The sequence below is a fragment of the Homo sapiens genome, chromosome 1, assembly GCF_000001405.40.
Source record: "Homo sapiens chromosome 1, GRCh38.p14 Primary Assembly".
Taxonomy (NCBI): domain Eukaryota; kingdom Metazoa; phylum Chordata; class Mammalia; order Primates; family Hominidae; genus Homo; species Homo sapiens.
The window spans coordinates 101,010,317-101,036,670 of record NC_000001.11 but is presented as its reverse complement, the minus strand read 5'-3'; the positions used below and the strand labels follow the sequence as shown (position 1 = coordinate 101,036,670).

General features: G+C 37.1%; 1 protein-coding gene and 1 long non-coding RNA gene across 10 annotated transcripts in view, besides 3 other annotated features; one reads left to right on the top strand and one right to left on the bottom strand.

The window, feature by feature from the left end:
• DPH5-DT (DPH5 divergent transcript) overlaps positions 1-10,825 on the bottom strand; it is a 61,534-nt gene extending 50,709 nt beyond the window's left edge. Inside the window, exon 1 of the long non-coding RNA NR_109849.1 lies at positions 10,610-10,825. This is a non-coding gene — a long non-coding RNA (DPH5 divergent transcript). The remainder of the gene's footprint in view (positions 1-10,609) is intronic.
• Positions 9,105-9,164: a silencer, noted in NCBI's record as "silent region_1122". NCBI's record gives its function as "represses an Ori minimal core promoter by ATAC-STARR-seq in GM12878 lymphoblastoid cells {active_cell/tissue: GM12878}" and the evidence as "EXISTENCE:reporter gene assay evidence [ECO:0000049][PMID:35858748]".
• Positions 10,158-11,357: an enhancer, noted in NCBI's record as "CDK7 strongly-dependent group 2 enhancer chr1:101490870-101492069 (GRCh37/hg19 assembly coordinates)". NCBI's record gives its function as "activates an origin of replication core promoter dependent on BRD2, BRD4, P300/CBP, MED14 and CDK7 cofactors, with strong dependence on CDK7, by STARR-seq in HCT116 cells {active_cell/tissue: HCT116}" and the evidence as "EXISTENCE:reporter gene assay evidence [ECO:0000049][PMID:35650434]".
• Positions 10,887-26,354, top strand: part of DPH5 (diphthamide biosynthesis 5) — a 36,162-nt gene continuing 20,694 nt past the window's right edge. For 4 of the 9 annotated variants that reach the window (XM_047422514.1, XM_005270938.3, NM_001077395.2 and 1 more), the window contains exons 1-4: positions 10,887-10,988; positions 11,205-11,362; positions 14,906-15,030; positions 22,853-22,961. In XM_047422514.1, the coding sequence (XP_047278470.1) occupies positions 11,228-11,362; positions 14,906-15,030; positions 22,853-22,961 (369 nt within the window). In that variant the 5' untranslated portion in view covers positions 10,887-10,988; positions 11,205-11,227. Of the gene's footprint in view, positions 11,032-11,204; positions 11,363-14,905; positions 15,031-22,852; positions 22,962-26,354 lie in introns of all 9 variants that reach the window. The other 5 variants (XM_024447600.2, XM_047422513.1, NM_001077394.2 and 2 more) reach the window with 3 other exon arrangements.
• Positions 10,956-11,065: an enhancer, noted in NCBI's record as "active region_1391". NCBI's record gives its function as "activates an Ori minimal core promoter by ATAC-STARR-seq in GM12878 lymphoblastoid cells {active_cell/tissue: GM12878}" and the evidence as "EXISTENCE:reporter gene assay evidence [ECO:0000049][PMID:35858748]".

Here is a 26,354-nt window from a genome sequence, read left to right as displayed (position 1 = left end):
TATTACACTGAATGTAGAATACTGTTAATTTAAATTTGAACTTACTTTTATTTTCTTGACACTTGATATAAACTTCTAAAAGTAAGAAGTAGGATCCAGTTTGCATCATCCTCTGGCTTTAATCAATCCCTTTCCTCCCCTCCCCCATTTAATTATGTTCATGGTCATCCCCACTGATTTATATAATTAACACATCTCAACTTCTTTTGACACTGAGTATACGCAAGACTTACTATCACCTCATGTACAGATCACTGCAATAGTTTATCATGTCATTTTCCTTGTTTCTAGCCTCTCCTTTCTCAGTTCATTAGCATACCTTGACTTGCCTGCTTTTGTTAAGTAGCACTTTCATCAAGACATACTACGAATATTCATTTAACATCTATTATGAGCAGAACACCATACAGGAGTTACAGAGAATATAAAGATAAAACATTGGCCTTGCCCTTAAAATCCATAGTCTTAAGAAAAACATATAATAGCAATAGACTATTAAAGAAAATCAAAATAAGAAAAAAATTTGCAGTTATGTGAGGTGGGAAAACACTATAGATGAGAGGTTTCTGAACTAGAATTTTAAGGATAATTCCTATGAGATAAAGTAGGGAAGTATTCCAGGTAGAGGCAACACACTGAGCAATGGATGGCCATGAAATTTGAGATAAATTAACCAGAAGCAAGATAAAAGCAGGTGAGATCACATAATTAAAAAAACTGAAGACCACAAACATGGGCAAGAATCTCAGCCTGAGCTGTCTAATGAAGACCACCAAGCAGGAACACAGCAGGTGATCAACCATAGTTCGAGAAATAGGCAACTGGCCACTGAGCCACCACATACAGCTGGGCAGCTGTATGTCATCTATGTGAACGGTACCTCTTGAAGTTGTGCCTACACCTGTTCAAAAGTGCTCAATGACCCTGGCAATTTCAGATAGGTGAGTGTCTTCCTTTGTGGGAGCCTAGCTTTGTAAAAGGGAACCCAATCATGGGTAGATGGGGCCAAGGCAAGAACTTAAGTCTCTCAGAGGAATGAAATCAGTAGCAAGTTCAACCTCTTGAAATAACAAGGCAGAGATGCAGGTCCTGATGACTAGGAAGAAGGCAAGGAACTCTATTACTGAGATGGCAGGGAGGCCAGGCAGGAGCACAGATAATAGGAAAGTAAATGACATCTAAGTGATGCAAATATCAAAATTAGTGTGATACTAAGTAATTTCTACATAGGATTTCTTATAGCTTCTCTGTCTAAGAAAATGACTGGCCTCAGTCTCAGATTACCATGCCCTGAACACCTTCAACCTACTGATGGGTTTAATCGGTCACAGGACAAAGTTATTAGGAACTAAACATCACACCTTATTCAAGAAAAAATTTATCTTTAAAATTACTAACACCACTTTCTGTTTCCTTTCATGTGCAAATAACATTGCAGCTACATTATAATTTTTAAAAGGTTTGAGCTTTAGCCTGGATGTCCATGTTTTCTTAGTACTAAATATTCTAATTACAAATTCACTTTTTGTTTGGTGTCAGGAGGGATGGATGATGGTCCTAAACTGCAATTTTACCTAGAACACACAGAAATTCTGTAAAACCAGCTAGCTAGAGAATATTTTTGGTAGTAATACTAGCTAATGTTAATTGTGCACTATATTGCAGGCCTTTAGATATACAGTTTACTTATCCCATTTAATCTTCACAAAACCCTAAAGGTAATAATATTTATAATGATTGCTAACATTTATTGAACACTTACAAAGTGCAAAAACACTGTTCAAAGACACTGTTTATGTGTAGTATTACTTCATTTAATCATCATGATGATCCTATAAGTGCCTTTATTATATGTATTTTACAGGCAATATAACTAAGGGTTCAAGAACTTTCCTAAGGTCACATTGCTAGTAAGAGAAGCCAAAATTCAAATCCTGTAGTCTGACTCTAAAGCCCATGACATTAAAGTCCAGGCTTTTAACCACGCTATTCACTGCTTCTGCAATTGGTATGCATGGAGAAAACAATATTTTTGATACCACTAATACTACTACTAATATTTTGATATGATAGGATTTCATCAGGTTTTATTTAATAAACACCAGAAGAGAGGCAATAGCCAGAAGCAAAGATAAGATTAAAATAGAATCTATATGAGTTTGAGTCTGAATCTCAATAAGCCTTTATCAGAAAATGTAATGAGCTCTGATAGTAAGGTGTAAAAATTGCTGAAGAAAAAAAACCAATGCTACTCAAAGTATACAATAGAAAATATTACTGCAAAACAAGCAAAAGACCCTAATAACATAAAGCAAAATGTAAGGAAATAAGATTAGGGTGAATCATATTCTGTGACTACCTAGGATTTAGAAATGCAAACAAAAATCACTCTGAGAAAATTAAATCTGTGAAAATTCTGCAACTTGATATAGATATCGGTTTAATTTTGGTTGAAAAAGTTTCTAGTTATGAAAAACATCACTGTACTTACAGTGAAGTACAGTTATGTGAAGAATAACTCAAGGTCTACAGTTTATTAGTATAAAAAATTTAGTAACTTAACGTTTTTTAAAAAAAATTTATATTGGTTATGCTAATTTCCAGGTTTAAGGAATTACTGTATTGCTTGCAATTTTATATCGAAATCTATTAAAGGAGGAAGGGTAGAAAAGGAGGAGGAGGGGAAAGATACTTCTTATTGGGTTTTGAGTCATGAAACAAAGCAAAGGTCCACAAGTGTAAATAACTTACATTGACTGATTACCGGTCTAGTGTTTTTTCCATTCTAACCAAAAAGGAAGCTACTGAATCCTACAATGTGACTTAGAAATCATCTAACTAAAAGCATTCATGTTACTGATAGCAAAAAATGGTCCAAACCCACATAGTTATTGGCAGCAGAGGCATAATGAGAAGTGGGTGTCCTGACAACAGGTATTCTCTCCAGGCAAAACATATATATATATTTTTTTTTTAAAGTATATTTTAATTATTTTAAAATAACTTTAGCACTTAGTATGTTTCAGGCACTAAGTGCTTTCAATACATTAAAACATATTTCACACATATTTATTAGTGAATCTATTAAGGCCCCTTTAAAGGAAGTATCTTATTCACAAATGGATTTACTCAACTACAAGTATAGATTCCACATTTAAATATTGCTGTGGTGGGAGAAAGAAATATTTTTGTCTTCAAAAATAAATAAATTGACTTTGAAGAGGTTTTAATTAATACTGACTTTAAAAGCACTTTCGTCCAATACAAAAAGTGATATTGATTTTATTCATACTGAATAAAGAAAATAACTGAAAAATTAAATAACTGAAAATTTAAAATAACTGAAAAAAATTACATATGAGGCAATTGACACCACCACAGAGCTGCAAATTAAAACCACAACGATATCTCACTACACACCCACTAAAATTAAAAGGTATCACAATACCAAGTGTTGACAAGGATACAGAGCAACTGTAACTTGCATCTATTGCTGGTGGGAATGTAAATTGTACAAACACTTTGGAAAACTGTTTAGCACAATTTGTTAAAGTGAAAACATATATCCTATAACCCAGCAATTCCAATTCCTAGGTAATATAACCCAACAGAAATGAATACTTAAATGTCTAACAAAAGACAGATACAACAATGTTCATAGCAGATTTATTCATATTGGCCCCAAACTGAAACATCCATCAAAAATAAAGAAGATGAATAGTAGTACATTCATATAACAGAATTCTATTCAGCAAAGAATGAACTACTACTACACAGAACATGGATGAGTAAAGCAGAGCCAAGGAAGCCAGACGCGAAAGGGTACATTTTACATGATTCCGTGTATAAGAATAGCCAAAACTAACTTACAGTCAAATAGTGGTTCGGTTACCTTGGAGAGGTGGGGCGGAGGCGGGGGGGCATTTACTGGGAGAGGATAAAAGGGAACCCTCTGGGATGCCAGAAATGTTCCACATCTTTATCAGAATGATGGGTACATGGTTATACACATACGTAAAAATTGTATACTTAAAATTTGGTGGACTTTGCTTTATGTAATCTATATCCCATTTCTGTGAGATTCATCCAGGTTGTTTCATGTAGCAGTAATTCATTCTTTTTGATTGCTGTATAGCATTGTATTATATGAATGTATCACATAACACAATGATTCTTTTTATTGTTGTTGGGCATCTAAAAAGCTTTTTTAAAAAAAGAATTCAGTTCCCAAATGAACATTTTCTCTGCTCACTAGCAGATTTTGTTTACTAAACTACTAAGAAGCAAAGTCCATTCACTTTTTTTTTTGAGACAGGGTTTCACTCTGTCACCCAGGTTAGAGTGCGGTGATGTGATCATAGCTCATTGCAGCCTCAAATTCCTGGGCTCAAGCAATCCTCCTGCCTCAGCCTCCTGAGCAGCTGGGACTACAGGTGCATGCCACCATGCCCAGCTAACTTTTTTATTTTTATTTTTAGTAGAGACGAAATCTTGGTATGTTGGCCAGGCTGGTCTCAAACTCCTGGGCTCAAGTGATTCTCCCTCCTCAGCCTCTGAAAGTGCTAGGATTATACAGCTGTAAACCACCACATTTGGCTCCATTTCCTTTAAGTTCTACTTTAAGTTTTAACAAATTGCCAGACAACATTTCTTTGGTGCCAACCAAGTCTATAGTGTTGAACTCAATGACAGAATAATTGAAATGAAGAGCTTCTCTCAGAAAGAATACCTCAGAGAATAATATTAAAATAATAATGCTTGCTTAAGATGACTTTTGTCAATCAGTAAACTATTTAGTGGATTGGTCTATAATTACTGAATTATGTAAATGATTCATATAACTTTTGTGAATGGGGAAAAGAATAAGAACCAATCTAGGTGGACTTGACTTTCATATTATAATCTGACAGACACTGTAGATAATTCTAAAATTAATTTCAAACTCTATATCAATATTTGTCAATGTTTTCTGAGTCTTTACTAGTTGTCTGAAAGTATGCTAAACCCTTTATATGTATTTTTTCATTTATCCTCACAATAATCCCATGAAAGATGTTACTATTATCTCTATTTTATAGAATAGGTAACTGAGGTTTAAAAAGGGAATGCAAGGAATACACTACTGAGTGAAAGGCCTAGACTAAACACGGTCTGAATGACATCAAAATGTGAGTTCTCAATCATTATAAAAAATCCCCTCTGTTCAGTTCTTCTCCTCCAGAAATTTATTTATAACTTATTACCATGTGTAGATGTATACTCATTCATTCAATATATATTTACTGAGCATCAAACACTGTTCTAGCTGTTTGTTTCACATTAGAGCATAACACAGACAAAAAAATCCTGCCTTTGTGGTGCTTATACTCTAATAGGATGTGGACAAAAAACATCATAATAAATAAGTAAACTAGACAGTTGTGTTACAAAGTGAGCAATGCTACAGGGGCAAATAAGCGGATAAAGTGATTAGAAATGTTGGTTGTAGTTTACATAAAATAGCCCTCACTGAGGAAGTGAATTCTGAACAATGACTTCAAGGAAGTGGAGCCAGAGCCACACAGCTATCTGTAGGGGCCAGGGGTACGGAGACGAGGAGGTGAGGCTGGAGAACTAGGGGAGTGGTGTAGATAGTGGGGGTATGTGTGTGTGGCTAATATACAGCCTGGTAGTTCGCTTTTATGAATTTTGGCTTTTGAATGAAAGGGAAACCACTCCCCTTCTCCCACCAAATCTTGGCTAGTTTAGCTATGTTTCCCTAAAAAACCTTAAAGGGACACTGTAAGTTTTTGTTTTTGTTTTTGTTTTTTATTTGAGACGGAGTCTCGCTTTGTTGCCCAGGCTGGAGTGCAGTGGCACGATCTTGGCTCACTGCAAGCTCCGCCTCCCAGGTTCAGGCCATTCTCCTGCCTCAGCCTCCCAAGTAGCTGGGACTACAGGTGCCCGCCACCACGCCCGGCTAATTTTTTTGTATTTTTAGTAGAGACGGGGTTTCACCGTGTTAGCCAGGATGGTCTGGATCTCCTGACCTCGTGATCCACCCGCCTCAGCCTCCCAAAGTGCTGGGATTACAGGCGTAAGCCACCGTGCCTGGCCTGTAGTTTTTTTAAATGCAAAAAGAGTGAATTATGTATCCCTGATTCTACCTTTTTAGCAATAGACTTTGGAGGAAGGACCTGCCATATACGAAAATGGGTTAGAAACAAACAGAAAGTTTACACATACATGCACATACACACAGGCACTTAAGGGAACATTCTGGGAGCTCCTTTACACAAAAACGCAGGGCTCTAGGTGACTTCTTTACGACAGTCCATATTGTTACTGATTCAATCTATTAAGCTAGGATGAATGACAATAAAAATTTCCACACTTTACACAGAAAATAGCTCTAGATTTGTTTTTTATGCATTTTTACATCATATGATTAACATATAATGTATGGATGAGTACTTAAAATCACTGGGTTTATAAAAAGTGACTTTTTCTCTAAGTAAACAAGTGTACAATAAAGTAACTTCAAATCTTTTAACCTTAGTAAATACAGGTCCTTATCCTAAAGCAATGTTATCTTTAATTATCACTTATTTGTGAATTGTTAGAAAATAATGACTTCAATCAATTAAGAGTCTGAGCTCTACAAATATTAACCAAGATTTCCTCTAACAAAGGCAATTTCTGGGAACATGTAGGTTAAAAGGCCAGCTTCATAGTAAAATAATATTCTTCATTCACAGTAAGGTCAGATGGAGTTTAGTCAGTCACCCTGATGTCTTCTTTTCAATACACAAACTGCTTAAACAGGACAATTGAAGGATGACTTCTCTTAAATGTAAGGTAATTATAATTTGTCCGTAAGGTAATGCAGTGACTCAACTATGTTATTACTTCAGAATAAAAGTAGCATATGATGTGTCTATGACAATGAAATGGAAAAGCCATCAGTATTAATTTCTTATGACTATCTGCATCTCTCTCACATTTTATGACTACTGACTGTAGGTCTCAAATATAAGGAAGAATTTGCCAGTAAAAATGAGTTACTGGCAAAGGTTATAAAAACATCTTAAAGATCCTTCATAAAAGCATAAATGTTCACCCTCAGGGATGACTTGGCATCATCTGACCTGAAAGCAAGAATACAAAGTAGAAAACTCTTCAGGTCTAATCTATCCATGTTATTCTTGAAGCCAAAAAAGGCTAAAAATCTTTCTTTTTTTCTTTTGTCCTATAATCACCTTTCTCTTTAACCATCACTCTCTCTTCTGCTAGACATGAGACTACAAATTTGCTGACATAAAAGAATTTGTCCTCTAACTGCTTTCATTATCATTATAAAACTATAATATTTGTTAAAAACTAATTTGAAATCGTTTTACAGCAAAATTTTCAAAATCCAGCCTAAATTAGGTGAAGCAATGATATCATTTAATCAGCTATATGCCTAGGTATGTTTTGTTAATCTATTACCTAGGTGAGGAGTTTATGTTTCAAGCAAAATGTAATATGTGTATTGATGGCTGCAACTTCCCTGGAAATGCATCAACAAATAAGATGGGTTGACATCTGGGTAAAAGGATAAATAAGTGATAAAGCAAAAACAGCAAAATGTTAAAACTTTAGAACCTTGGAGGTGGCTATATGGGTGTTGACTGTGACACTGTTTCAACTTTTCTATATGTTTGAAATTTTTCACAATAAATTGTTGGGGAAAATGTAATCACATTTGAAACCTGTTTTAAATGGCAAGGGAAAAATGTCCAAATCCCACAGAATTCTGCAAAATCCAATAGGCAAGATTTTTGCAGCTTATGTTTGTTGAGCTGAGGAGGAAAAACAAAAAAGATTACCATAATCCCTTTATCTGTCTACCTCCAGAAAAGTACAAAAAATTTACACTCTTATTGAGAAATAACGGCAGGTGAAAGGTTTGTTTGTTAAGAATTCTCCGTGGTAAAACTAAGTTCCTCTGGCTACATTTTGAAGCTTAAAAACAAATTATTACTGTTATTTCAGGCAATGTTTCACTTCCTTGATTACCCAGAATAACTTTATTTTCAATATAGATATATTTCCTGAAAGGAGATAAACCACACCTTCTTCAGATTACTTAATCATCCTTTTTGGCAGTGTCCTTGCACTGTGAATCTACCTGAAATTATTATTTTTTTAAATCTGAAAACAAAAAACATAAATGATCAACACATTGGAAAATGTGTTTACCTACTCAATAGCATGCATATGAACTATATGTTTTGTGTGTTGCAAGCCTTTCAATACAAATGACCTTCTAAAGTGGCATGAGACAGGCATATTTATATTTGATATTCCATTAATGATTTTTTTGGTAGTTTTTTAAAACATACCACCCTCTGTATTAATAAAGATGGAAAAATACGTAGCTCAGCTACTAGTGGATAATAATGATTTATTCAACAAACATTTATTTAATACCTATTATGTGCAAGGGATAGTGCTAAACCTAAGATGAGCATACAAATAAGATGCAGTCCCTGAATTAACTAAATCAATAGTTTGGTAAAGAAGAAATACAAATGAACAAATATAAAATCTCATAAATTGGTTAGTAAGTATATGTAGAGTAATACTGTAATGAAGAGGAGAAACCTAAATTAGCTTAGGGGGGTGAGGGTCTCTGGGAAGGCTTCCTGAACTTGGTCTTAAAGAATGGGTATTAGTGATCTAGGCAGGAGAGAATGGGAGACAATATTCTATGATGAGGCAGCAGCGTAGAGGAACAAAGCAGCATGTTGTGGGCAGAGAACTACAAGCAATTCAGTATTGCTGGAGAGAAAGCGAGAAAGCTCATGGTATGGAGTGGAGAGAGATGATGCTAAAAAGGTAGGCAGTGGCCACACCACGAATGATCTTGTGGGGTATGTTAACAAACCTGGACTTTCTCTTGGCCTCAGAAGGATCTAGAAGGGGTGTAATATTTTCAGATTGTTAACTATAACTCTCTGACCCCCTTGAGTGAAGGAGACATTATTATCAGCTACAAGAGTGACAAAATGAGGACCTGAGAATCAAGATGGTGATAGACGGTATGGTTTCTATTGAGATATACAGGCAGACATGACAGACGATGTGGGGGTGACTCCCAAGTGTCTGGCTGGGGTTAATCTGTTGATGACAATACTCTCCTCACCCACCCCCACCCCCGACCCATCCAAGTAGATAATATGGAAAGAAAAGCAAAATGGAAAGGGAAGGTGATGGATTCAACCTTGGATGTGTTGAATATGCTTCCGGGTTATCTAGGTGAAGATTTCCAGCAGAACGTTAACATGAAGCCAAGAGGGAGGAAGTCTGGATAGGAGGCTGAAATTTGAATCTACAAAATATTAGCGATACTAGGAATTCTGAGTGAACAGCCAGTTTTTGTGAGGTTTTGTTTGTTTTACTTAAGCCATTCTAATAGGTGGGTTGTGGTAGCTCATTGTGATTTAAATGTTTATTTTCCTAATGTCTAATGATGTTTAGGATCTTTTTTTGTTTGTTTAAGATCTTTTAAAATAATTATTTGCTATTTGTGTATCTTCTTTGGTGTCTATTCAAATCTTTTGCCCATTTTTAAACAACGAACTGTTTTATTATTGCTTTCTGAGTGCTCCTTATATATTCTCCATACAAGTCCTTCATCAGATACATGCTTTGTAAATATTTTCAGTATGTGGCTTCAAGTCTTTTGAAGAGCATAAATTTTTACTTTGTTGAAGTCCAATTTATCAATTTTTTTCATCACGCTTTTGGTTTAAGAAATATTTGCCTAAATAAGGTCACGAATATTTCCTCCTATGTTTTCTTCTGGTATAGGTTTAGGTTTTCCATTTACATCTACGATCCATTTTGAGTTTTTTGGGGTGTGTATGTGGTGTGAGGAATAGATCAACGTAATGAGAGGGGATAAAACACAGCCACGAAGAGTTTATAGATAGGAAGTGCAAAAAGGTGGATGGAACCTGGGAATGAAAAAAAGCCAAGGTTCAAGGAAGCGGAGTTGGGCATTGTCGGGGAGGCAACAGGAAAATTCTGAGTAACCAACACTGCCTGCTAAGAAAAGCAATGACAGCTGTCTTTTTTAACTTGGATGAGGTCACCTTGGGAAGAGCATTTTCAGTCAAAACAAATCTTCCCTATTTCTAATTACATGTAACCAACAGCTTTATAAGAATTCCCCCGGCAGAAACACTTGAGAGGTCTGAAATCCCTGAGCACTATTAAAGGTCACTTCTTTAGGTACAGGAAGGTCTGGGATTCCTGACACTGAGGGTGACTGAAACATCCTTGGGGCACTCCAGGCATAAGGTCTTGGGGACAAACCCAAGGAGTCATTGCCTTGTTGGGAAATCAGAAGCACACTCACTGCTGGGTTTGCCAATCTCACGCTTCACCAGGAAGACACCTAGTTGAACTACAGGAGGATGAGAAGACTGGAATTAAAATCTGTGCACTCGGCCAAATCCGGGGACAAATCAGGAAAATCCTTCCCAGCCCTCCCTGTTTCTGGAGAGGAGGAGTAGGGCGCAGGGCCCCTCCCGACTCTCTTCCACGTGGCTCCTCTCGAGCGAAGAGCTACTGCACTTACCCAGGCTTAGGAAGCGGGTGTTTAAGCCATGGGTTAGAGGGCTCGTGAGCACGCCCGATCCTTTCCCTGAGGCTATGAAACGGTGGCTCCACGGACTCCTCTCGGCCGACTGACCTTTCGCCGCCCTGCCCCAGCAGCCGGCGGGTTTCTTCAGTGGAGCCGGGCTCTGGTCTCCGCAGCCCAGTAGCCCGCTAGCCCGGCCCCCTCCCGCTAGTCGTAAAGTGCAGTAAAGGCACCAGCATTTTGCGGCACCGTAGGTGAGGCCGGCGGCGTGGGCCTTTTCTCTGCACGGAGCCGGCGCTTTTGCAGTTGCTTCTGCGGAAAGGTGGTAGTTAAGAATTTGTAAAGGCCAGAGAACTACCTACGATTCTCTCAGCGGGTAATTGGCTGCTCCTAGGTTTGTGTAACAAGAGGCAAAACTGGTAGGGTTGTTTAAAACCTCTTATCCCAGTTCTTAAGCGTGACATAAGGTTCCCAAACCCCTCCTTGTGACTTGCCTCTTCTCTTGTGCTACTTTGGTTGTCATCGTGTTCATCACTAGATTTTAGATGTCCTCGGTGTTACTGACGGTTTTTCTGTCCACTTCGTCTTGCAGTCTCTCTTCTCCTCAAGTTTGAAATGCTTTATCTCATCGGGTTGGGCCTGGGAGATGCCAAGGACATCACAGTCAAGGGCCTGGAAGTTGTTAGACGCTGCAGTCGAGTGTATCTGGAAGCCTACACCTCAGTCCTAACTGTAGGGAAGGAAGCCTTGGTAGGTGCTGAGCGTTCCCCAGCCTCCTGGGAAGAAAGCTATCTAACATCTGATTTTCATACACTAAGCTGAACAGAATTTTCAGGTCTGCTTGTTTAAACCCTTTGAAACGCATCCCTTGTTCATTAATGATCTGAGGAGCAGAAGAATGGAAATTTTACACCAACCAAGTGACTTGGAAAATGAAAGGGTGCTTTGTCCTATTTTACAAGTCTAATTTTGTGGCTTTCTCCAGTAAATAGGAAAGCTATTTTATACTCCTGGGGGATAGTTATCAAAACCCCTTATTTCATGAGGTAGTCAAGAAACCCTTTCTGAGTTGAGTGCTAATGAGGAGCTGACACAGCCTTAATGAGTTGGTTATATATATTCAAAAACCAAGCTGAAAGCTTCCCCCTTTGAAGTGTGTCCATAGGGAATGGCGATTGCCTTTTTGTATCCTATCCAGAGAGATCTTATCTTAAATAGACTATCTCCCAATAAGGCTTATACTGATACACTTGTATATATTGAGTGAGCCTGGACTTAATATATAAAAATGTATGAGTATACACTTACATGAGTATACACTAAGTAACCAAAGTATTTGTTAGTATATTATACATTTATAGTTGGCCCTCATAAGGGCCCAGTAAATTTGGGGGAAGGGTCAACTTCAGGTTCATTGTCAAACTCTAAGTAGAATGTAAATCAAAGGATTAATACATATGTTATGGGAGGAGGGAGCAGATTTATTGTCATGTCTTCCAAACAAAAAATAGACTTAAAATTTTTAGGCCTCAGATTACTTTAAAATCTTATAGAAGGAATTAAGAACTGCTACTTGAATTGGCCATGCATTTAAATAAAAGTTGTGTGTAAAGACCAACTTTGATATATACATATATGTGGAGAGAGAGAGAAAATAAGTCTTGCTCTGTTGCCCAGGCTGGGGTGCAATGGTATGATCATGGCTCACTGCAGCCTCAGCCTCCTGGGCTCAAGTATCCTCCCACCTCAACCTCTCGAGTAGCTGAGACTACAGGTGGGTGCCATCATGCCCAGCTAATTTTTTGTATTTTTTGTAGAGACAGGGTTTTGCCACATTGCCCAGGCTGGTCACAAGTTCCTGGACTCTAGTGATCTGCCCACCTCGGCCTCCTAAAGTGCTGGGATTGTATAGGCACAAGCAACCACACCCAGCCTAAGGCCAGCTTTGATTTAAAAAACATTTTTTTTTCTCATTTTTTCACTCTTAGGATAGAACCAAAATATCTAAGCTCGAAATGATGGAAATGTGCGTCTCTAATCAGTGATTAAGGAAAAGTAAAAGGAACTTAACACCTTCAAGAAAAGACAGACAAATAACAAAACAGCAGTTTGATAGAATGAGATATCAGGGGATGGCATAGAGGAAAGTTTGGTTATAGTTTTATCTTTGTTACATGTTAATGTGACCTTGGACAAGTCCTTTAACTTTAGTGTCTTTTTTAAATGGGGTAAAAAACATCTACTTTAGGTGTTCAGCATAATTCTTAGCATAGGTTCTTAACTATGGTATATGGCACAAAACTGTTCAGAAATAGAAATTGTCAATGTTCACATTTCCAAACTTCTCTGAACCTCAGTTTCTTCATTTGTCAAGTGGCAATTACCAGTTGGAGGGTTATGTAGTGTTTTATTGAGATGATGTATATGAAAGTGCTTTGTAAATTTTCAGTGCTAGCTAAATGTTAATTTTGGCTGCTGTTATTTTGTAAAGTATTTTTTTCCAAAGACAAAACTTCTGGAGTTACTACTTACAGAGTCAAGACCTGAAGCTGGACCCAGCCTTACCTACAGTAAATTATGTGTACTTTGTTAAGGTGCTGGAATATCTGTTTCTTCACAGTAATAAGTACTGACATTTATAGAACAGTTACAGAACAGTTACTGTGCACTGTTTTAAATGCTTTACATGTAGATTAGGATTATTATTCTAATTACTGTTCATTTTGCAGGGATAGAGAAGTTAACAAACTTGCCTAAGTTCATGCAGATAGTGAATGATAGAGCCAGGAGATGAACCAAAGCAGTCCTGAGTTGAAGTCTGCCACTCTTTTTATTATTATTATTATTTATTATGTTTTTTTATTTTGAGACGGAGTCTTGCTATGTTGCCTAGGCTGGAATGCAGTGGTGCGATCTCGGCCCCCTGCAACCTCTGCCTCTCGGGTTCAAGCAATTCTTCTGTCACAGCCTTCTGAGTAGCTGGGATTACAGGCGTGTGCCATTGCGCCCGGCTAATTTTTGTATTTTTAGTAGGATGAGATTTCACCATGTTGGCCAGGCTGGTCTCGAACTCCTGACCTCAGGTGATCCACCTGCCTCGGCCTCCAAAGTGCTGTGATTACAGGTGAGAGCCACTGCGCCCGGCCGAGGTCTACCACTCTTGACCTCTACACTGTACTGTGTCTCTGTATTCTTAAGGATAGATAATAGCTACACAAAGTTTAACTTCACAGAACACCTACAGAGAAGGTAGGATTCAAGCAAAATGGTCAATGCTGGATCCTGCCCTGCTTAATAATTTGTTCATGTACTCATTTGTTTGACAGATATTATTGAGTACCAGATACCGTTGCACTACAGCAATCCTTATAAATTTTAATAACTCACTCAAAGTTCTCAGTATGTAAGAAACCGTATTATTTATCTATGCATCCAGTTTTACTCCATTTGAATTACTTATTACTTCTCAGGAAATCAGTTTTAAGATTCATGATCCTTCATTCTGTACTGGCTGACGAGATGAAAAAAAAGAAAAGGATTCATGATCTTGCATAATAGCCCGTAACCACTATCAGATGACTACTAGCTTACTAGCTCACTCTCTACTGGATTTGTTCTCTAGAGTTGAGCTGCAGGGAATTAAATCACAAAGCAGTTTGTTTGCAAACTTCCTACATATTTAGAATTCAGTTACTGCTCCTGCAACTCTGCCTTTTTAGCAGAAACTAAGGAATATAGTTTTAAATTAGTATCTTCTGCATTTATGTAGGAATGTTCACTGGTTCTGTAAACAGCTAATTTTCTATTGTTTCTCATTGGTGCTGCCTTTTTTTTCTAGCTGAGTTGCCATATGTTTAACCATTGAAAATTTAATAAAAGCTAAACCACCATGTTTGTTTAAACTTATTGTTTAATATATTTATTCTGTATTACATCATGTTTCTGAAGTAGGGCTCATGTGTACATATTCCGCATTCATCCTACAGTGTTCTATTTGGCCTTTAGAACCAAATTTAGAAATAAATTTAAAATGCAAAAAGCCTCAGATGTTAAGAGTTCCGCCTCCTTTGGGATATTAAGACAGCCCCAAATACAGAGTTTAATTGCAACATGACATAAAGTACTGGCTTACTGATGAGTTGTATTGAATGATCTGCATTTGGGTGGTTGCCAACATATGCACCAGTCCCAAACAAAGAGTGTGTGTGTGTGTGTGTGTGTGTGTGTGTGTGTGTGTGTGTTAGAATGGTCACCTGCTGTCTCTTTATCTTGATATTGGACTTATATCTGTAGGAAGAGTTTTATGGAAGAAAATTGGTTGTTGCTGATAGAGAAGAAGTGGAACAAGAAGCAGATAATATTTTAAAGGATGCTGATATCAGTGATGTTGCATTCCTTGTGGTTGGTGATCCATTTGGGTAAGTCAAGGCAGATATTTTGAGTTTTTAACTCATTTACTTTTTTTTAATCAGTAAGAATTATTCTATTGCATTTAACACTTTTACCTGCCAGGTCCTGATAAGGAACTCTGGTTACTTAAGCGCTATCTAAAATGTCATAGTTTAAACTTTCATGATCTTTGAGATTAGTGAAGAAAAGCTAGTTGGTAAATATATCATCATATGTATCACTACATTATCAAGTGTCAACTCTAAAGTTTGTATCATTGCTTCTGCTGTTTTAGAAGGTCATGTAGGGCAACAAATGCCTTAACTGCTATATCATTATTAAATAGTTCATTACATTATCAAAAGTCATGCCTGCCATTTTCTGCTGATAATTTCAGGCATCTTCGACTTCTTTTGTCCTAGGTTTTTTTTCCTTTTGTAATCATCTACTATTTGGCAATACTGCCGTCACTTTGCTTGCCTTGAATTTATCATTTATCAAGTCTCTGATTTCAGTTTCTTATATCCATTGGGAACCCTGTTCTTTGTCATTACCACGAAGATGGGCATCTACTGCCTAGTCAAGCATCATCAATCTCTAATGTCAAGCCAAACAGAAGAGTTCTTTGTCTACAGCTGGTTACCTAAGATTTATATCACAGATTTAAGGAACATAAGGACCATGTAAGACCTTGGAGGGGACTAGGAATTTAATTTAAATACAGTGGTAAACTTTTGCAGGATTCAAAGCAGGAAAAAGTCAAAATCTGATTAGCATTAAAAGGTCACTTTAAGTGCTTAGGTAAATGGATTTTAGGGAGGCAAGAACGTTTTTGGTGGAAAAGAGAAAAAGATGGGAACATATTTAGAAGAAGAATGCCAAGATGAATGTGGTGGATAAGGAAAAGGAAAGGAGTAAATCTGATTCCCAGGATTCTAGCTTTACAAATGAGTGGTTGGTAGTGTCACTTGAAAACTGGTAGAGAACAGGATTTGGAGAAACAAGAATTGGTTCTGGAAATATGTTTACTTTGAGATGTCAAGTAGGCAGTTAGCTGCTGCTAGAGCTTGGGATGGGAGGTCATCCTAGATAAATGGCTTTTGAAGTCATCAGTATGTTTATGGTGTTTAAAGCTGGAGGAATGGATAGAATCAGCTTAGGAGAGAAGAGTGGGAAAAGAGGACCTAGGATGGCCCTAGGAAACCTTGGAATTTCATCGTGTACCTGGAGCCAGAGGAGGAGGGAGAAAAAGCAAGAGAGTATGTTGTCACAGAAGCCAGGAAAAGAGACTATTCAAAAAGGAAAGACTGAATACCTTCAATATAATACTGAAAGTTTGACTGTAAGATGAGGACAGAAATATGTGTATGAATTTAAAGACATGATGTTTGGAGTTGATTAGTGGTGGTTTTATGGAGGAGCTGGAACTTGCGCTGGGTCTGGATAGGGTTCAACAGATGGAGATTATAGGGTGGGCCAGGAGAAAGGTAGAAGGAAGAATGCTCATATAAATGAAAAAACTGAGGCACAGAGAAAGTACCTTGATGTAATTAATTGCTCCCATGCTCAAAAACCTTCAGTGACTTCTCATGGCCTTAAATCTTGAAGTCTTTCTTTTTTCTCTAGCTACTCTTTAACCGCTATGCTAAAACCAAATGGTACAACTTTCCATTTCATAAGTGTTTTGTAATATTCTTCCCCTATTTCTTTGCTCAAGCTTTTTCCTTAAAAGAGTTCTTCTCAGTTCCTAATTATACCTAATTGTACTATAAAATTAGTATACAGCTCAGATGCTACCTCTTTCATTCCTGTTTTATTCCGGAGTGCCTTTTTTTTTTCCATTTTAGACTTCTTTAATTTGCCCTTTCTTAGTGATTCATCGTATATAGCCTTGTATTTGAATTCAGATTTAAGGAATATTTACTGTACTGCAGTTATTTTTTATTTACCGGCAGATTATAGTTAGGATATGATAGTTGGAAATGGCATGATGGGGAATGTGTAATTTTAATTGGAATATGAGTGGATTAAATGGAGGAGAAATCAGGTAAGGAATATAGAATGCAGCAAGGCACTGAAATTCTTAGATATGAGCAAAAAATATCCCTTATTTAATTTTAAGACCCCTTCTTATTTAAATAAAATATATAAAAAGAAGATTGTTTAAGATGCTGAATCTTAAATTCTTTTTTTCAGTACTTTTAAAATGGTAAAATGACACATGACAAAATGTGTCATTTTAACCATTTTAGTGTACAGTTCAGTGGCATACTAAGTACATTCACATTGTTGTGCAACTATCAGCACTGTCCATCTCCAGCAATATGAAGTTCTTGAAGACAATTTAAAGTCATAGTTAAGTAAGTTCATGTAGTCTCATCTTTGTTCTTTTACCCAGGTTATTGAAAGGAATATGGAAATAGATCACACAAAGAAAGTAAATGAGTCTAAAAATATATACTAAATCAATAGAACTTAATCACTGTGAGAGTTGACAGTCTCAAACATTCTATCCCTAAATCTCTGCATAAGAAGTCTTTATTAAACACACTGTTTCTAATGATGGTTCTGTTTTATTATTCCATTCTGTATTTCAATATGCTCTGTAACTATATTATTATAATGAATACAAAATTTTTATCCCTATGTTGTATGCCTTTTCCTTAGTGGCATCCATATACAGATAATATGTCCTGATGTAGGCTGACTGCTTCCATTCCATGTAATGAATGTGAACAGTGCTTGATACCTAATAACTATAAAATCAATGGCAGCATTATTATTAGTCTATTTTTCTTCAATATAAATAAAGCTGTCACATGTAAATTTATGTATATGATACCTTCCTGCCTCCCACTTCTTTATCCCCATGTTTTAGGTTGTTTCCTTATGGTAGATCCTCCAAAATAGGTTTTTAGGAATAAAATATCAAAAGGTGTGGACATGGACATTTTGTAGAATAAAGCATATTGTCAATTATTTTTCAAAAGGATAGTGCCAAGTGTTAGTGCTTCCATAGTTCATGAAAACGTCATTTGCGCTATATCATTGCAAACATTACTAAATTTCTGGCCCACCAGCCACACTTATGTCAAAAACGGAGACACTATAAAATTTAAAACAAACATACCAGCCGGCGCAGTGGCTCATGCTTGTAATCCCAGCAACTTTGGGAGGCTGAGGCGGGTGGATTGCCCGAGCCCAGGAGTTTGAAACCAGCCTGGGCAATGTGGCGAAACCCCATCTCTACTAAAAATACAAAAAAGTAGCCAGACGTGGTGGCAGGCACCTGTAATCCCAGCTACTCAGGAGGCTGAGGCAGGAGAATTGATTGAACCCGGGAGGCGGAGGTTGCATGAGCCAAGATCGTGCCACTGCACTCCAGCCTGGGCAATGGAGCAAGACTCTGTCTCAAAAAAAAAAAAAAAAAATCAAATTTTGTATATTCAAATTGGTCACCTTTGTGTACTTTATTTTATTGATTCCATTAATCAAAACATTTTTGGATCTCCTTTCTTGAAATTGCCTTTAGAACAATTTCAAGTAACAAGCATGTTATTACAGACAGATTTATTACTATTTCTGAGCATACATACATATACACATATATGATTTTAGATAGAGCCATATACCTAGAAATAGTAAATTTGTTTGTGTGTATATGTATGTGTCTACTCATTTTAAATAAACTTGTGATAGAGATGTAATTTTGAGCCAGTTTTTCATTTGCTTAAATAACTCACCAAGTAACTAATTTAGTTTTCTTTACTCTTAATGTTAAGTAGTGAGATTCTGTTGAAGGTGATATTAAAAACAATTCTTTATAATTGACATTCATGTTATTTTTTAAAAGCTTATTTGAAATCAAATTAATGATTATTTTTCATACCAGTTTTATTTTATGTATGTGATTAAAAACAGGCTTCCCTGGTGGGCATTTGTTAATTTGTTAATATATATCTGACTGCTCCATGGGGTGAAAGCCCTTTATCTTCCTACTTGGTATGCATTGACCAGTCCACAGGTTCTACTTGTTTGCATGTGGTTTCTCAGACATGCTAATGTTGCTTTACCCAGTAGGGCCTGGAATTTTTATCAGGAGGGAAAAAGGCCTTTAAAATGAAGTTCTAAATTGATAAGCGGTTACATTTCACTGTGTCCATGTTTATATTTATCTATAGTCTCTCTTTACTCCAATCTACCTACTTACAATCTTGAGATTTTATCTTAAAAATGGAAAGGCAACAGGTCAAATATGCACACATACGTACATACGCATACACACATCCTAATTACACACAGTAACCAAATAAAAACAGTTAAAATGACTGCTGGACAGATATAAAATCCAATATTATAGGAGATAGGACTCTCATATAAAGACTGAGTGACAAGCTGTGAAAATTTATGTACAGGCATACCTCGTTTTATTGTGTTTTGCTTTATTTCATTTCACATACATTGCATTTTTTAAAAATTGAAGGTTTGTGGCAACTTTGCATTGAGCAATCCTATTGGTGCCATTTTTTTCTGACAGCATGTTCTCACTTCCTGTCTCTGTGTTACATTTTGGTAATTATTGTGATATTTCAAGCTTTTTCATTATTACATCTGTTAATGATGATTTGTGATCAGTGATCTTTGATGTTACTGTTGTACTTTGGGTTGCCACAAACCAAGCGCATATAAAATGGCGAACTTAATTGATAAATGTTGTGTGTGTTCTGACTGCTCCCCACCAACCAGCCATTCCCCCAACTCTCTCTCTCTTCTTGGGCCTCCCTTTTACCAGAGACCCAACAATATTGAAGTTAGGTCAATTAATAACCCTACAATGGCCTCAAAGTGTTTAAGTGAAAGAGTCACATGTCTCTCACTTTGAATCAAAAGCTAGAAATGAGGAAGGCATATAGAAAGCCAAGAGGCTGGGTGTGGTGGCTCACACCTGTAATCCCAGCACTTTGGGAGGCTGAGGTGGGCAGATCACCTCCAGTCAGGAGTTCAAGACCAGCCTGGCCAACATGATGAAACCCCGTCTCTACCAAAAAATACAAAAATTAGCTGGGCGTGGTGGCGGGTGCCTGTAATCCCAGCTACCCGAGAGGCTGAGGGAGGGACAATTGCTTGAACCCAGGAGGTGGAGGTTGCAGTGAGCCAAGATCATGCTACTGCACTCCAGCCTGGGTGATATAGTGAGATTCCGTGTCAAAAAAAAAAAAAAAGAAAGAAAGAAAAGGAAAGCCAAGATAAGCTGGAAACTAGGCCTTTTTCATCAAACAGCCAAGTTATGTATGCAAAGGAAAAGTTCTTTTTTTTGAGAAGGAGTCTCATTCTGTTGCCCAGGCTGGAGTGCAGTGGCACAATCTCAGCTCACTGCAAGCTCCGCCTCCCGGGTTCACGCCATTCTCCTGCCTCACCCTCCCGAGTAGCTGGGACTACAGGCGCCTGCCACCACGCCCAGCTAACTTTTTGTATTTTTAGTAGAGACGGGGTTTCACCGTGTTGGTCAGGATGGTCCCGATCTCCTGACCTCGTGATCTGTCTGCCTCAGCCTCCCAAAGTGCTGGGATTACAGATGTGAGCCACTGCACCTGGCTGGAAAAGTTCTTAATGGAAATTAAAAGTGCTACTCTTACGAATGCTCTAATGATAAGGTAGTAAAACAGACTTATTGCTGATAGGGAGAACGTTTTAGTGTTCTGTATAGAAGATCAAACCTGCCACAATATTCCCTTAAGCTAAAGTCTAATCCAGGGCAAGGCTCGAACTCTCTTCAAGTCTATGAAGGCTGACAGGGGTGAGGAAGCTGCAGAAAAATTGTTCCAAGCTAGCCGAGGTTGGTTCATGAGGTTTAAGGAAAAAAGTTGTCTCTATAACATAAATGTATGAGCTGTGGAAACAAGTTATCCAGAAGGTCTAGCTAAGGTAACTGATGAATCACTACACAGTAGATTTTCAGTGTGGATGAAACAGCCTTCTATTGGAAGAGGATGCCTTGTAGGACTTTAATTGCTAGAGAGGAGAAGTGAATGCCGGACTTAAAAGGACTGGCTAACTCTTGGTAGGGCTAATGCAGCTGGTGACTCTAGATTGAAGCCAGTGCTCATATATATAGCCTTATGAAAATCCTAGGTCCTGTAAGAATTATGCTAAATCTATTCTCCCTGTGCGCTGTAAGTGGAACAAGAAAAGCTGAATGACAGCACATCTGTTTACAGCATGGTTCACTGAATATTTTAAACCCACCCTTGAGACCTGCTGCTCAAAAACATAGATTTCTTTCAAAACATTATTGCCATTGACAATGCACTTGGTCACCCAAGAGCTCAGGCAGTGTACAAGAAGATTACTATTGTTTTTATGCCTGCTAACCCAACACCTATTCTACAGCCCATGGATCAAGGAGTAATTTTGACTTTCAAGTCTTTCTATCTAAGAAATATATTTTGTGAGGCTGTAGCTGCCCTAGATAGTGATTTCTCTGATGAGTCTGGGCAAAGTAAATTGAAAACCTTCTGGAAAGGATTCACCATTCTAGATGTCATTTAAAATATTCATGATTCATGAGAAGAGGTGAAAATACCCACATTAATGGGAGTTTGGGAGGGGTCGATTCCAACCCTCCTGAATGACTTTGAGGGCTTCAAGACTTCACTGCAGGAAGTAACTGTAGATATGGTAGAAATACCAAGAGAACTAGAATTAGAAGTGGAGCCTGAAGATATGAAGGAATTACTTCAATCTTAGGATAAAACTTGAACAGATGAAGAGTTGCTTCTTATGGACAGGCAAAGAAAGTGGTTTCATGAGATGAAATCTATTCTTGATGAAGATGCTGTGAACATTGTTGAGATGACAACAAAGGATTTAGAATATCATATAAACTTAGTTGATAGATTACTAGCAGGGTTTGAGAAGATTGGCTCCAGTTTTGAAAGAGGTTCCACTGTGGGTAAAATGGTATCACACAATGTTGCATGCTACAGAGAAATCTTTCATGAAAGGAAAAGTCAATCAATGCAGCAAATTTCATTGTTTTATTTTAAGAAATTGCCACAGCCACCCCCATCTTTAGCAACCACCACCCTGATCAGTTAGCAGCCATCAACATGGAGCCAAGACCATCCACTAGCAAAAAGATTAAACTCACTGAAGGCTCAGATGATTGTTGGCATTTTGTAGCAATAAAGTGTTTTTAAACTAAGGTATGCACATTTTCTCGACATAATGCTGTTACACACTTAACAGACTACAGTATAGTATAAACATAACTTTTATATGCACTAAGAAACCAAAAAAATTAATGTGGCTGGCTATATTTTGATATTCACATTATTGTGGTTATCTTGACCCAAACTTGCAATATCTTCATGGTATACGTGTATATTCTGCCTTATATTTTAAATACAAAGACAAAGTCTTCAAAATAGAGCAGTGATTCTAGTTATGCCCTAATTTAGAATTTTAGAGCAGTAATTTTAAGAATTTAAAAGGGCTCTGAGACCAAAGAGCTTAAGAATTGCTGCTCAAGAGTTAAGTTGCTGAGCTTATATTTCATAGATGTCTTTTTCACGTATTTACAGGACAGTGGGCAAGTAAAGGTCCCTTTCTTAAGTAGCTGCCAAGGCTGCTTTAGGAGTGTTACAGTAGCAACTCAGCATTTTGAAGGGCATGTTTAGTCTTGCATTTTCTTGCTAAAAAGCTCAGATGAAAGCCTTATGCAGGTGTGTGGAAGAATTTGAAGAAAGGCAGTGCTCCTGCCTCTTTAATTGACATGAACTCAGGAAATATAGCTTTACTGTCTTAAAAGTGTTGTTTGCTTTAATCCAATCTAATCTTTTCTCACTACAGGGCCACAACACACAGTGATCTTGTTCTAAGAGCAACAAAGCTGGGAATTCCTTATAGAGTTATTCACAATGCCTCCATAATGAATGCTGTAGGCTGCTGTGGTTTACAGGTAATGCAACAAAGGAGGTTTTTCAGTGGAATTAAATAAAAATGTTTTATTTTTCCACAAATTGAAAATACATTTAATTGTATTTTATGAATCATAAAACATACTACTATTTGATACTAGGCTGCTTAGTATATACATAGACTGAATTTTTTAACACTAATTTTTTTATGCTAGGTTTTCCCCCTTATTGGAATCGAATGTTTAGATTTAGCTAGAAAATGATTTTAACCTTAAATCCAACTTGTACTTACATAAAAAGGAAAATATAAACTAATCCAAATGACATACTCAGCATTGTCGAGGCCCATGATTTTTCATATAGTATTGTTTTGTGTGCTGTCAAGAGCATTGTGATGCTGCATTTCTTAATAGAATCAGTATAAAAGCTAAAAGCCAGTGATATGGGCTTTTAAACCAGGTTTGCAGTTATTGATGTGTAAAGTTAGTTATTTTTGTGTCCAACAGTCTTGGTTCTGAGGGGTTAGAGTGCCCCACAATTGTTTCCAAGATTTACTTCTTAGCTACTATCATTTATATCTTTATCATTTATATCTTAGCTACTATCATTTTCCAAGCTTGGTGTTTGTATTCTGATGTTCACACATGGATAATCCATGACAACTATGACTGCTGCTTGGCTAACAGTGGTTTTAAGACATCATCAATTGTTAAGACACATTCCTATTTTCAGATATATCATAATAGGAAAACAACATGCATCTTAGAAGCTGTGAAATAAGTATTTCCCAGTGTGTCTTCCTGAAACACATAATTTAAAAATAGATATTTTCAAGAAGATACATTAGCATCAGGCACCAATGCTATGTCTGTAGCTTTAGAGGACTATATTTTCTGTATGACTTGGAGAGAATAGTTCAATTTAATTGACTAATACTGGCTTTTTATGTCAAAATGTTGCCTGTGTTTATGAAGAACTAGAGAAAAAGTATAAATGATTGACCTGACCTGACAGTATTCACCACTTGCTCTTAGTTGTTATGTTTAAATTAGCATGGAATTTTGCTATCTTTTTTGTCCAAAATGCATACTTTTTAAAAAACCTTGCCCATTCAAGTCTTTTTTTCCCATTTTGAAACCCTTCTGAACATTTCTGTGTTGGAGTAAGTCAAATGCTGTTCATAGAACTATAAAATGTTAGCACTACAAAGAATGCTATAGGGATGGAGAAAATGATGCCAAAATATGTTCCCAAGGTCATTCAGGTAGGTAGATGGAGCTAAAACTCTTGATCCCTAGTCCAGTATTCTTCCCTTCTGGGGGTGTCCAAGGGAGAGAGTACAGTCATGGGTTCTTAGTTTCTGTTGCTGGTTCGGCCAGTAAAGCCCCTTCCTCATCCCTCTTTTCTGCTTATCACTAGAGACAGAAACTAAAAACCATGGCTTCAGGCTGCTAAAAGCCTAAAACAAAACAAAACAGAAAAACAACAACAAAATAAGGCAGACTGGACAAGCTTGTGACAATGCTGCCTTTTAAGAACTGATGACGGATGGCTGGGCGTGGTAGCTCACGCCTGTAATCCCAGCACTTTGGGAGGCCGAGGCAGGTGGATCACCTGAAGTCAGAAATTCAAGAACAGCCTGGCCAACATGGTGAAACCCCGTCTCTACTAAAAATACAAGAATTAGCTGGGCGTGGTGGCAGGGACCTGTAATCCCAGCTACTGGGGAGGCTGAGGCAGGAGAATCACCCTAATCCACAAGGCGGAGGTTGCAGTGAGCTGAGATCGCGCCATTGCACTCCAGCCTGGGTGACAAGAGTGAAAACTCCATCTCAAAAAAAAAAAAAAAAAAAAAGAATTGATAATTGCTAGAAGAAAGAAAAAAAGGAGAGAAATTATCATTTGATAAATAAAGATATGTAAACCTTAAGCTAATAGGACATACATTTTTACCATATTTCATATAATTTTGTGTCTTGTAAAGAAAGTTAACTAGCCCTTTCTCCATATTTTGCTCTAAATTAAGCTATTTTTAATTAATTTTTTTGCTTCTTTATTAAGCATAAAAATAGAACACATCCCATATAAATCTGTTTTATAGACTGGTTAAAACTAAACCTGGGTGACCCTGTCCTTCTGATCCTCCACACTGATAGACAGGTAAAGTGTAATTGTTCTCGTGTCTAAATTGGGTGAAGGTATTTGAGTGGGAATTTACGGTGAGAATTAGCAGTCTTTATGTAAGCACCTACAGTCATATCCACATATATTATTTTTCAAAAAACTTTCTCACAATTGTGTATGGGATTTCTCTAAACAGCCACACACCATTTTCCCCCCAGCTTAGTTTTATTATCTAATCTGGATATGAAATGGCTATTTGTGTGAAAAACAGGAGGTGCCTTTTAAGGTTCTGTCTTATATAGTGATCACATTTCTATGAAGATATACTTCTTATACCACTGAAATTATTCATATCAGAAGAGGTAATTGTTGATTCATTTTTGTACAGTTTTTTAACATAAAAAGCATTAAAAATCATATGCATGACACACTTAAATTTTAAAATAAATGTATAGATATCCTGCATAATGCAAGTACTTTGACAAAGTCTTCTTCCTTATAATAGCTGGCCTTTTTCTCTTTACTTTTTGGACTAGCGCTTATGGAAGAAAAAATAACCTAAATCTGTGGTTCTCAGACTTAGTATTTATTAGAATCACCTAGAGGGCTTGTAAGACAGGTTGCTGGGCTTCATATTCAGACTTTCTGATATAGTAGATCTGGGATGGGGTCTGAGAATTTGTATTTGTAACAAAGTCTCAGGTGATACTGAAGCTATTGCTACAGGTACCATACTTTGAGAATTACCAACCTAGACAAATTAAAAACTTAGAAAGTGAAAGAACTGTGTTGTCTTTTTTTTGGCATGGCAGGATTGGAAGAGTAGGTTTTTAATTCCCAGTATACACTTGTTAAATGTAGGATGTTGAGAGGTTATCTTGCCATGCTCTCTTGCTCAATTTTTTAAAAGGGAGATAAGAACCACTGTGAAAAGGCATTCTGTCATCTCCATGAAAGAGCTTTCCATGAGTTCAAAAACAGCCATCAAGTTATTGAACAGAGTAGATTAAAGAGTAGCAGTATGAAATTTCTAACCTAGAAATAGACAGACTTTTCAGCTATCAATTTATCAACCCCCTTTGAACTATTCTGTTGTTTTTGTTATTTTCTAAAGAAACAACATGCAGAGTTCAGAATCAACCACTGAGTATTGTTCATTACCTTTGTAGTTTATTAGCCAACAGAAAATTTTTGTTTATCACTATGATGGTAAAAATTGTTGTATAACTATCTAACACTCCTTCATACACACAGACATTCACACACACAGCCAGTTGATACACACTATCTTACAGACTTGCCATAAAATA